This window comes from Homo sapiens, chromosome 17, assembly GCF_000001405.40.
Source record: "Homo sapiens chromosome 17, GRCh38.p14 Primary Assembly".
Taxonomy (NCBI): domain Eukaryota; kingdom Metazoa; phylum Chordata; class Mammalia; order Primates; family Hominidae; genus Homo; species Homo sapiens.
The window spans coordinates 30,099,407-30,112,549 of NC_000017.11; the positions used below are offsets into that span (position 1 = coordinate 30,099,407).

At 40.2% G+C, this 13,143-nt stretch overlaps 1 protein-coding gene across 8 annotated transcripts in view, besides 2 other annotated features; it reads left to right on the top strand.

The window, feature by feature from the left end:
• Positions 1-9,046, top strand: part of EFCAB5 (EF-hand calcium binding domain 5) — a 178,550-nt gene extending 169,504 nt beyond the window's left edge. For all 8 annotated transcript variants that reach the window (XM_024450742.1, XM_024450743.1, XM_011524759.2 and 5 more), the window contains one exon: positions 8,428-9,046. In XM_024450742.1, coding sequence (XP_024306510.1) covers positions 8,428-8,618 — 191 coding nt within the window. In that variant the 3' untranslated portion in view covers positions 8,619-9,046. The remainder of the gene's footprint in view (positions 1-8,427) is intronic.
• Positions 5,191-5,290: a silencer, noted in NCBI's record as "silent region_8392". NCBI's record gives its function as "represses an Ori minimal core promoter by ATAC-STARR-seq in GM12878 lymphoblastoid cells {active_cell/tissue: GM12878}" and the evidence as "EXISTENCE:reporter gene assay evidence [ECO:0000049][PMID:35858748]".
• Positions 5,638-5,739: a silencer, noted in NCBI's record as "fragment chr17:28432062-28432163 (GRCh37/hg19 assembly coordinates)". NCBI's record gives its function as "represses an EF-1alpha promoter that drives an FKBP-Casp9 reporter gene in an ReSE screen in phorbol 12-myristate 13-acetate-treated (for megakaryocytic differentiation) K562 erythroleukemia cells {active_cell/tissue: K562(+PMA)}" and the evidence as "EXISTENCE:reporter gene assay evidence [ECO:0000049][PMID:32094911]".
• Positions 9,047-13,143: the final 4,097 nt, after the last annotated feature.

Here is a 13,143-nt window from a genome sequence, read left to right on the forward strand (position 1 = left end):
ACAAAGTAAGACTTAATCTCTTAAAAAAAAAAATAGGCAAAGATTGCTGTTAAGAAGTCTGAAGCCTTTCTAAATCAGTGTGACCTTTCTTTGTTTTATATCTCTCCAGAAGCTGTAGAATCATCCCTTCATCCCCAAAGTTGCAAAAATTTCATAATGATATGCCTTTTTATGGGTCTGTTTTCATCCATCGATCTGGATACTGGCTGGGCTTTTTCAATTGTGAAATCTAGGTTGTTAAGTGCTGGATGACTTCCTCCATGGCATCAAGATTGCTACTTACAGCTGTGCAGTTTGTACACTGCACAAAGGTGCTCTGCTGAGGAGGTGGGTGGGGGCCAAAATGTATCCCGGATTCCATTCACTAGACTGTGTGCCTTAACCTGAAGCTACATCTGCTTGGAGGAGGAGCATCTTTTTCATTCACCAAGCTGTGTGCCCACAGAGCGCGTTCCCTCACAGTAGGTGTGTTTTTCTCACCTTTACACAAAGGTGACCTATAAGGCTGGTGGTGGCCCTGCCCTCTTTTTTCTGTATTCACTCTTTGGAATTCCTATTATTCAGACATTGGATCTCCTAGATTCAGTCTTCAAAATCCCTATATTTTCTCTCCTCTTTCCTAAACAGCTTCAACAAACCCTTCTGAACCCTTTGAGGATTCTGGGATATACAGAAGGTTGGTTCTAGGCTTTCTCCACTGCTGATTTAGGATTCCACTTTTCTCCTGTCTGCTACCACTTCTTCATCTGCTTTATATTTTTCAAATTTTGTTGTTCTGTCTTTCACTCAACTAAAATTATCTCAGTGCTATCCATGTGGCAGGCCCTATTCTAGGTTCCTAGGGTACAGTAGTGAATGACATAGAACAAGATCCCCGCCCTCAAGAAGCCTACATTCTAAAGGGGAGAGCAGAGGATAAGCAATAAACATAATAAATTATACACTATGGTAGAAAATAAGTGCTATGGGGGAAAAAGCAAAGTCGAGTAAGGCAGTGGATGCAAAGGTGGGAAGCAGGGAGGAGGCACGGGCTGCAAATTTAAATAGTCAGGTAGGCCTTATCAAGAAGGTGAGATTTAGGCCGGGCGTGGTGGCTCACGCCTGTAATCCCAGCACTCTGAGAGGCTGAGGTGGGTGGATCACCTGAGGTCAGGAGTTCAAGACCAGCCTGGCTAACATGTGAAACCCCATCTCTACTAAAAATACAAAAATTAGCTGGGCATGGTGGCAGGCACCTGTAATCCCAGCTACTCAGGAGGCTGAGGCAGGTGAATTGTTGCAACCCAGGAGGCGGAGGTTGCAGTGAGCCAAGATCGCACCACTGTGCTCCAACCTAGGCGACAGAGTGAGACTCCGTTCAAAAAAAAAAAGGTGAGATTTAAGCAAAGATGTGAAGGAAGTGAGGGAATCAGCCATATGAATGTACAAGGAATATTCCAGGTGTTGCTTGATGTTATTTTATCCTAAGAAAAGAAAAAGAGTATTCCAGGCAGAGAAAACAGCCAAAGCAAAGGCCCTAAGGCAGAAACAACCAGTGTTTTCAAATAGCAACAAGGAGGCCACTGTGTCAGCAGCAGGGTCAGAGAACGGGAGGTAAGTAAGGAGATGAGTTCAGGAGGTAATGGAGGACTGAATCAATTAGGGTCTTGAAGACTATCATAATGTCTTGATTTTATGGCTTATGGTGATCCTCCTGCCTTGTCCTCCAAAGTGTGGGATTACAAGCATGAGCCACAACACCCAGTGAATTAGAGCCATTGCAAGGTTTTAAGCAGAGGAACGATATGACCTATGTTTTAAAAGGATCACCCTGCTGCTGTAATGAGAAGACACTTTGGAGGTCAAGAAGAGAAGCAGAGAGACCAACTAGAGGAGTTGTTGCAGGAATCTGGTGGAAATGGTGAAAAGTGGTCATATTATATATATTTGAGAGGCAGAGCCAAAATATATCTTGACAGTTTGAGTGTGGAATGAGAAAGAAACAGAGGAGCCAAGGTTGACTCCATGGTTTGGAAGGATGGAGTTACCATCAGCTGAGATGGAGAACACGTAGGTGGAGCAGGCTTTGGTCGGGGGAGATGAAGTGTTCAGATTTTGACATGCTGAGTTTGAGATATCTATTAGATATGGAAGTAGAGATGTGACTATGTAGATGGTTAAATAAATCTGGAGTTTTCGAGAAAGGTCTAAGCTGGAGATATAAAATCGAGATTGGTTGGTGAATAGATGATTGGCAAAGAGAGGAAAGTCTCCTAGGTGGGAAGACTGAGTAGAGACGATTCTGAATGTTTTGCCACAAAGGGGAGCAAAGAATGGTGTGGTAACCGGAGGAGGAAATGGGGTCAAGGTTTTGTTTTGTTTCTCAGATGGGAGAGATAACAGCAGGTTTCATTCTGATGGGAAATCCTGTAGAAAGCAAGAAGTTGACAATGTTGAAGACAGAGAATTCCTGAAACAATGTCCTCAAGCACGTCAGAGAGGATGGGCTGTTGTTAGAGTAACCATACGTTCTATGTTTACCTTGGAACAGCCCAAGTTTTTGCTTGTTGTTCTGGTGACTTGTCCAGTTAGCATCCTCTTTCTCTCTCAAGTGTACCAATTTGAACAATGAATTATTTGACTACCCTGGATCTACCACACCAAGGGAGGAATTGGCTTAAGACAGCAAGAGGACAGAGAACATGGGTGCAGATGAGAGTGAGTGGGTAGGTGTGCTGGTAGAAGTCTACGGAAGGAGAATATGGGTGCAGATGAGAGTGAGTGGGTAGGTGTGCTGGTGGGAGTCTATGGAAGTTGCCTTCTGATTGTGTCAATCTTACAGAGAAGCTGAAAGCAGAGTCATCAGCCAGAGTGAAGATGGGAGAAGAAGTTGTTGGGACTTTGAGGCAATGGGAGTAGGAATTAAATATTGGTGTTTCTTTTCTCCTGATCTTTCTATCATTGGTTTTATGTCTTCTTTTATTAATTAATTAATTAATTATAGAGGCAGGGTCTGTCTCTGTCACCCAGGCTGGAGTGCAGTGGTGTGATCATGGCTCACTGTAACCTCGAACTCCTGGGCTTAGGTGATTCTCCTGCCTCAGCCTCCTGAGTAGCTGGGATTACAGGCATGAGCCACCATACCCGGCCCTTATGTCTTCTTTTTCTTTTTCTTTTCTTCTTTCTTTTCCTTTACATTAGTCTTAGTAGGAATTTCAGACGTAGCAAAATTGAATGCATGTTAATCATCTAGAAAAGCATTATCCATTCAATTTCTTTCATATTTTAACTTGGTGGTCTCCAAAGTTAAGTGGAAGCACCCCAGAAGATTTTTTAAAAAACTGTCTCTGGGGCGCAAGAAAAATATCAAAGATGATTCTGTTGAGACATTGAAAGACAGAAAGAAAGAAAGAAAAATACCAAAGGACTAAGGACTTTTCTTTTTTTCTTTGTTTCTTTTTTTGGAGACAAGGTCTCACTCTGTCACCCAGGCCGAAGTACAGTGGCACAATCTTGGCTTACTGCAACCTCTCCCTCTCAGGCTCAGGTGATTCTCCCTCCTCCCACCTGAGCCTCCCTAGTAGCTGACACTAGAGGCCCACACCACCATGCCCAGCTAATTTTTGTATTTTTTGTAGAGACAGACCATGTTGCCCAGGCTGGTTTTGAACTCCAGGACTCAAGCAATCCACCTGCCTTGTCCTCCCAAGTGTTGAGATTACATGCGTGAGCCACTGCATCCGGCCAAAGGACTTTTCTTTATAATGGTTTTAACTCATTGTTAATTTCTATTTTTTGTTTAAAATGTTTTAAAATAAATAATTTATAAATATATATATTATAAATATATATATATATGGGCACATGCTCAATGTTTGTTACTGATAGAGGTACATGAGCAAAAGAGTTTGGAGGCCACTACATTAAACTATGAATTTTGTAAATATAATTTGCATTGATTTCAATTTACACATGACTTGATTTATAGCTACATCATTTAAAAAGCCACTACATGTGATATTGTATAGAAATTATGTGATATTGTACAGAAATTATGCTTGTGACACTGTACAGAAATATGCTTGCCATGGGAATGAAACTGATATACGTGCAAGAACTCAGCATTCATCCTAGAACAAACTTCCCCCTCAAACTTCGATTACTAGAGAAAAATGTGTTTTTAACTCCCCGTGTAACATTGATATTTTTCCTGATAAATCTGGGAGGCAGTACACTACAGTGCCTTTGGGACCATATTAAATTAACAATGACATATTAAATTCCTGATTGCCATGGCAAATGTAAATTCTCCTGCCTACAAAAAGATTGATTGAAATTTGCATATATGACCGGGCGCAGTGGCTCACACCTGTAATCCCAGCACTTTGGGAGGCCAAGGCACGTGGATCACCTGAGGTCAGGAGTTCAAGACCAGCCTGGCCAACGTGGTGAAACCCCATCTCTACTAATAATACAGAAGAATTAGCCAGGCGTGCATGCCTGTAGTCCCAACTACTCAGGAGGCTGAGGCAGGAGAATGGCTTGAACCCATGAGGTGGAGGTTGCAGTGAGCCAAGATCACGCCATTGCACTCCAGGCTGGACAACAAGAGCAAAACTCCATCTAAAAAAGAAAAGAAAAGAAATTTGCATACACATACCCTTCTATTGCTGCAAGGACCTTCAGTTTATTGTGTGTGGCTGTCATGTTAAGGAGTGACTTGGGGTATGTGAAGCAATAGAAATGAGAACTAAAACTAAGAGAACTAATGAAGGAGAGGAACATCAACAAATGTGGCTGATCTTGGATTGTTAGTTGAAAGGAGCAGTTACATTTTAGCTTTTGTACTTGAAGCTTAAGTACTTCTTTCTTTTTGCTTTGCCCATCTATACTAATTATCCATCATCCCCAAAAGATTTAACTTTATTAATCCAGTGTTAAAAGCAGGGATCCATAAATGGAGTTTTAATTCAGAAATATCCTACTATAGCCCAGTGTTTCCAGCATAATGAATTCACTATGTAATTAAAAGTTTGATTAAACTAGAACCTACAAAAATATCATGTTTCTGAACTAATGTCCATAGATAGACTCAAAGGTCACCCAGTACTCTCTATAGCTTAGATATATTCAAATAATTTACTATACACTTTTCCAAAGCAAAGCAAAAAAAAAAAGCGTTATTTCTATGGTTATAAAAGAAGCGTTTATCTGCTTGAAAAAATTGCAAAGTCTGTGTGAGTGGGGTCTGTCGTGGGTCAAGCTGCAAAGATCCGGCCTGCATCTACCACAAGAGGGCAGTAGCACTCAACCGTTAATAGGGAACCCAGCAGAGCGCTGGAGGCTCATTAGAGGAATCGTTAGAGCCGGTCGTTAACGCATCAACCTCTGGAAAGGACAGGGAAACAGGAACCACCGTCCAGACACTTTCGGAGCTTCTGTCTCGGTAACAATAACACAGGAAATAAGCAACAGGGTCTTGTGAAAGACAGCGACCTCGCTCACCATCCCCGTGTCGTTGAATCACCATGGAGATGGCGACTAGCTTAATAATGGCTTGCAGATGGGCGTCTGCTCACGTGGATGTTCAGATAAGAACACTGTGGCAGGGGTCAAAGGAACAGAGCTCTTCATGGGCATTAGGGAAGGGCGGAAGAAAAGCTGAGGGGAGCAGCAGAGCTGTTTTGTCTCCGAAAATAAGGACTTTTAGGAGTGTCCTAGGGTGAATTTTATTTAGCTTCATAGCATTGAAACATTATCTTTGGAAACCTGTATCATTTACCTTGCAGGGTTTCCAGGAAACTAATTAACAGAAAGAGAGATGAATTGGCCGAGCGCGGTTGCTCACGCCTGTAATCCCAGCACCTTGGGAGGCCGGATCATCTGAGGTCACGAGTTCGAGACCAGCCTGGCCAACATGATGAAACCCCGTCTCTACCAAAAATATAAAAATTAGCCAGGCCTGGTGATGGGCGTCTGTAATCCCAGCTACTTGGGAGGCTGAGGCAGGAAAATCGCTTGAACCCAGGAGACGGAGGTTGCAGTGAGCCCACAAGGTGCCACTGCACTCCAGCCTGGGCGACAGAGTGAGACTCCATCTCAAAAAACGAAACAAACAAACAAAACAAAACAAAAAACAGAAAGAGAGATGAATTATAACAAATGCACCTTCAATATTTTAAGTATGTATGTCGATTGGTCTAGTATTGCTCATAAAATGAGATGAATCAGGTATTTTGAATGTGATCTCATGACCAGCATCTGTTTTGTTTTTATTCATAATTCTCTCTAATGTTACTGAGCTATAATCTGGAAAGAATTTTAGTATTTGAGAAACCTAATTCATTATTCCTTAATTTAATGTTTCAATTTAACATTTATTGAACACTTATAATTGAATGAGAAAAGACAATGCCAGGGTGGTGTGTGTGTGTGCGTGTGTGTTAAAACAGAGAATTTTAGAAAATTAATTGGATCCACGCTTTAAAGTCAGCTTCAAATAAAAATTGAGACTTGTGAATGTTTTCCACATTTTACGTGCCATTCCTATCCCATATTATACCTTTTGTTGTATAGTTCCTTCCAAACCATAGGACAGCTAAACCTAATTCAGAGAATCTTGTTCCTTTGTGTTGATAAAAGACAAGAAAATAAAATATGTTCTGCTTAGCAATTCTAATAGATCATTGTCATTACTGTTAATAAGCTATTGGATAGAAGACTTGATATTTAAAAGCTTTTACTCAATTAAAAAAAAAGCCAGGTGCAGTGGCTCATGGCTGTAATCCCAGCACTTTAGGAGGCCGAGGTGGGAGGATTGCTTGAGGCCAGAAGTTCAAGACTAGCCTGGGCAACATAAGACCCTGTCTCTATTATTAAAGATAATGAATAAATTATTTATTTATAATTATAAATAAATAAATAATAAAGCTTGAACTCAATTATAACCAAATGGTTTACTCAAATCAGCAAACATGTATTGGGTTAGGCACTGAGTTAGTTACTAGGAATAACAGAAATGAATAAAATAGACTTGTGGATGAGAGGCATCTGAAAGAAAGGGGGTAATTATTATTATTATTATTTTTTGAAATGGAGTCTCACTCTGCCACCCAGGCTGGAGTGCAGTGGCACAATCTCAGTTCACTGCAACCTCCACCTCCCAGGTCCAAGCGATTCTCCTGCCTCAGCTTCCCAAGTAGCTGGGATCACAGGTGCCCACCACCACGCCTGGCTAATTTTTGTATTTTTAGTAGAGATGGGGTTTCACCATGTTGGCCAGGCTGATCTCAAACTCCTGACCTCAAGTGATCCACTTGCCTCTGCCTCCCAATGTGCTGGGATTACAGGTGTGAGTCACTGTGCCCAGCCGGTAGTTAATATTTTTGAGCAACTACTCTGTGACAGATCTTCACATATATTTTCTCAGCCTCTGGTCCCAGCTACTTGGGAGGCTGAAGTGGGAGGATCACCTGAGCATGGGAGATTGAGGCTGCAGTGAGCCATGATCGTGCCACTGCACTCCAGCCTGGGCAACAGGGCAAGACCCTGTCTCAAAAGAAAAAAACAATTCTTACAATTTTGTTTTATGGAAGAAGAAACTGAGGCTCAGAGCAGTTAAGTGACAAAACTCATTGGTGTAGAGCCAAGATCTGTTCAACTCTATATAGTCTTTCCATTGGACAGAACCCTCATCTGTTCAACTCTATATAGTCTTTCCATTGGACCATTCTGTTTGAATATTAGTCATTGACTCCTGGGAAAAAGCAACTTTTATGAATGACAGTTTAACAGTTTTCAATTTAAAAAACTTAAAACATATAATGGTGTGCAGTTACTATATAGCTTTAAATAATTTTTAATTAGGAAATATTTCAAACATGCAAGTATAGAGAATAATACCTGCATAGTCATTATGAAGCTATATTCTATATCCAACCTTAACACTATATTTGAGTTAGACTTTTTAAAGAAAACATTATAGGAACAGTTGAGGATTTCTATCTTTCCTCGATCCCACTGTCTTCTCGTCTTTCCCTAGAGATAATACTATCATGAATTTGGTATTGGTTTCATGCATGATTTCTTATTTTTACTATATGCTAATGAATCCATAAATAATATAATACTATCTTGCAGGTTTTAAAGCCGTTTAATTGTGCCCAAAAGTACACATTATTCTATAACTTACTTTTTGTATTGAATATTTTGAGATTTATTCATGAATACAAATAACTCTAATTCTTTGTTAACTGCTGTTAAGTATTCCATTGTATGACTATACCAAAATTTATCCATATTCCTGTAATTACATATTTACACAAGATTCTGCTTGGTTTTGACTCAAAACATATCTAATGAACTTTAATCATAATATTAGAACTTATAATTTTAATAGTAAAGTGCAAAACTCTCCACTCTTACTTTTCTTTTTTTTTCCTGATGCAGATCATTCCCGAACTGAAGTATGGAAATTTGGTAATGTTGTCATTGAACATCTATACCACTGGATACACATCTGTTCAGCTCTCATGAAGATAACCAAACAACTAAATAGTGGTATTACACCTCCGTTGCCCTCCAAGACTGACAATTATATGTATGCAAAAATGCCAGGGGAAGGTTTGCAAGAGAAGTGATAATGGATGATAATGGAATTGATACTGTATTTAGGATCCTTTGTTTGTTATCAGTTTTGTTTGTTAACTATAAAATATTTTCCATTGGAAAGGGGTACCTATAAATGTCTTCTGCTGCTAATATTTATCTCAGCACTTTCTAAACCCAAAAGTGCTACCTAAGAAGAAATTTAGCCAAAAAATACCCAGCTAAGGTAGCCATAGCCAAGTGTATTTAAGTATGTTATAGAATATATTTGAAAGCTTCCTTTCAGTTTGAGCTTTGTATCTGCTGTGGAACTGTTATGGTTGATTGGGTAGTTATTTTTCATTCTTATAAGGTTCAAAGTAACAGCTGAGGATTTAGAAAACAAGAATACCAAATAGAATACGAAATAATAAAGATAAACCAAAAGAATACCAAATAATAAAGATTTTTAAGAAATGGACTGAGAATTGTTTTTCTAATTTTTCAAAGACTTATCTAAACATCGCCTCTTCCCTCTCTCTGCCTCCATACTCTTGCCTTAACAACTCAAAAGTTGCTTTTGGTTTTTAACTTTTTAATTTTTAATTTTTGTGGGTACATAGTAGTTGTACATATTTATGGGGTACTCAAAAGTCATTTTAATGAACAGAAATTCTTGTGGGAAAATGTCCATGACTCATGGAAAAAAGAAGACACTTTTTTAATGATAAAAACCTCTTCAGTTCAAAAGTACAAAAAGAATTTATATTTGTTTAAAGCTTGTTTTTATGACAAACTTTACTGCTCTGTGGTGAGATTTCATCTTTGCAATAGATATCTGATGACAGAGTCCAGTTTTAATAAAATTTTGGGAAATTAAACTTTATTTTCTTTATTAGATTGACAAAATGTGATGTGTCCAAATATCTTATAATTTGAGATTGGCCGTCCCTTTTTAACCTTTTCTGATAAGAGGGCAGTGTTATTACCAGTCCTCCTCTCTCGGATGATCACATGCCAGTTTTAACCTATATGCCTGTTTCATATTTGGAAGGGGGCTTTTTAGGGCCTTCAGAGCAACATTCCAAGGAACAGTGTTCTTGAAGATATTAAACTCATAACCACATATCCTGATGGCTTCAGAGCAAGTTTACAGAGTTCACTGTGAATACAAATGGCATTTTAGGTGGCAAGGAAGGAAAGATTTTGCAGAATGCCATGTTTGTAACCGTTATCCTGGAAATTAAATTAACTAAATGACTTCTAGCTTGATGAAAAATATCATACATTTGCATGGCACTTTAACTTGAAGTGTTTTCGCATACTAGCTTATTTGATTCTTCCAATAATCTATAAAGTGGGTAGTCCTGATATTATCTCTATTTTATTTTATAAATGAGTTGCCCAGTTCACAACAGGCATAAGAGGCAGAGCGGACCTAGCACATAATTTCTGGTTTATTGCCCTTGCCAGCACCCTAGAAATCTCACACTTTCCAACTTTCTTACTAGGCTAATGACCATGCTGTCAGTCTTTTGAAAACTACTTTAAAATTTGCAGCCAAACAAGCCAGATCGGTTAAATTTATTAAATAATCATTCAAGTAAAATACTGTCCCTTAACCTTAGGAGCTTATATTTTGAGTGAGGAGGATGTTATTTATACCTGATGAAGGTTAGATACAGATTTATATCTAAATCCATTTATTTCGCTGTTAATAGATTTATTTATTTACTTATACTTACATATGCTTCAGAAGCTTGGACTTGATTAACTGAATTTGTTATTGGCTCTTTCCTGATAGCTCATAGGTAACAATGACACTGTACAGTGTAGACCATCCAGACCACTTTCTCTCCTTTGCTTTCTTTTTTATTTTTTTAAGTGACAGGGTCTCGCTCTGTCCCCTAGGCTGGAGTGCAGTGGCTTGATCATAGCTCACTGCAGCCTTAAACTGCTGGACTCAAGTGATCCTCCCGCCTCGGCCTCCCAAAGTGTTGAAATTACAGGCATGAGCCACTGCGCCCAGCTTCACTTTCTTTTATACTTTTGGCTTGTCATGGCTCAGGAACAACATGAAGTATCAAGATAATGACAATGGAGTCTCAAAAAAGCTCCAATTGCCTTTTTAAACAGCTTTACTAACATATCCACATACCATAAAAGTTACCCATTATAGCGTAGAATTACTTTTTTTTTTTTTGTATATTCACAGAGTTGTACTACCCTTACCACAATCAACTTTAGATTTTTTTTTTTTTTTTTTTTTTTTTTGAGACAGAGCCTTGCTCTGTTGCCCAGGCTGGAGTGCTGTGGTGCATCTTGGGTCACTGCAACCTCCTGGGTTCAAGCCTCCTGGGTTCAAGCGATTCTCCTGCCTCAGCCTCCTAAGTAGCTGGGATTACAGGCGCCGGCCACCAAGCTCGGCTAATCTTTTGTATTTTTAGTAAAGACGGGTTTTCGCTATGTTTGCCAGGCTGATCTCGAGCTCCTGACCTCGTGATCCGCCCACCTTGGCCTACCAAAGTGCTGGGATTACAGGCGTGAGCCATCGCGCCCGCTGAAAATTTTGATCATCCCAATAAGAAACCACATACCCATTAGCAGTCACTCCCCACTTTCCCCTACCCCCAGCCCTAGGCAACCGCTAATTTTTTTTCTCTACCGATTTGCCCATCTGGACATTTTGTATACAACATGTGGTCTTTTGTAATTGGCCTCCTATTCCCTCTTTTTTTTTTTTTTTTTTTTTTTGAGACAGAGCCTCACTCTGTCACCCAGGCTGGAGTGCAGTGGTGCAATGTTGGCTCACTGCAACCTCTACCTCCCGGGTTCAAGTGATTCTTGTACCTCAGCCTCCCAAGTAGCTGGGATGACAGGCACACACCATCACACCTGGCTAATTTTTGTATTTTTAGTAGAGACAAGTTTCACCATGTTGGCCAGGCTGGTCTTGAACTCCTGGCCTCAAGTGATTGGCCCCCTCAGCCTCCCAAAGTGCTGAGATTACAGGCGTGAGCCAGTGCACCCAGCCAATTCCCTCTTAATCTAAATATGCTTAAGCGACCAGATGCCCTGAACTTCTAGACATTCTCAATCTTCTAACTCAGAAGACCATTTGAAGGTAATTTAAGAATTGTGCAGGCCAGGCACAGTGGCTCATGCCTGTAATCCCAGCACTTTGGGAGGCTGAGGCGGGCGGATCAACCGAGGTCAGGAGTTGGAGACCAGCCTGACCAACATGGAGAAAACCCGTCTCTGCTAAAAATACAAAATTAGCCGGGCATGGTGGCACATGCCTGTAATACCAGCTACTCGGGAGGCTGAGGCAGGAGAATCACTTGAACCCGGGAGGTGGAGGTTGCGGTGAGCTGAGATCGCGCCATTGCACTCCAGCCTGGGCAACAAGAGCGAAACTCCGTCTTGAAAAAAAAAAAAAAAAAAAAGAATTGTGCATTCCTCTCATATATGAGGTTTTATGCAATGCCAGTCCCAAAAACCTCACCCCACATCATCAATGCCATATTCTTACTCTCCTTCCACAGAATCTTGTTACAAAGACCTCTCTCAGGATCAGAAAAAGTAACTATTGGATACTAGACTTCATACCTGGGTGATGAAATAATCTGTACAGTGAACCCCCATGACACAAGTTTACCTATATAACAAACTTGCACATGTACCCCGAACCTAAAAGTTAAACAAATTTTTTAAAGCAAAAATAAAAATTTTAATTAAAAAACCTCTCTCAACTGACAAGATCAGTGAATTAAATATTACCTATTTCACCTGTTTTCTGGTTATAAATATAGCTCACCACTTTGCAAGAAGGGCCATTGTGAACCATCTTTGGTCTAGAATGCTGTCCAGTTCCATAATCTTTTTCTTGGTCAAATTTGTTAAATTTATAAATAAATAAATATTGCCTAATTTCTCTGCCCTTAAACTTGGTTACTACCCTCAGTAGGTGTACCATTTCCTAGTCATTAACCGTATTTAACCTCTCCTCCATCTACTGTCTGAGCTTAGACTGTCCTGCCCAGGGACTTCAAGTGATGAGGCAACCCTGGGTGGCCATTACGTGACTGACTCTGTAGCTACAGTTGTTTGAATTAGGGGTGACCCCTTACCAAAGTGAGACCAATTTGTGAAATGGCCTAATATAAAAAGCACCCAAACCATGGACAAGCCAAACTGGGAAACAGCAATGGGAGCAGTGTCTAAAAGGAAATTAAGGCCGGGTGCGGTGGCTCACACCTGTAATGCCAGCAATTTGGGAGGCCGAGGCGGGTGGATCACCAGGTCAGGAGTTTGAGACCAGCCTGGCCAATATGGTGAAACCCTGTCTCTACTAAATATACAAAAGTAGCCGGGCGTGGTGGTGCATGCCTGTAATCCCAGCTACTCGGGAGGCTGAGGCAGAAGAATTGCTTGAACCTGGGAGGTAGAGGTTGCAGTGAGCTGAGATCACACCACTGCACTCCGGTCTGGGCAACAGAATGATACTCCATCTCCAAAAATAAATAAGTAAATAAATAAATAAAAAATAATAAAAATTTAAAAAATAAAAGGAAATTA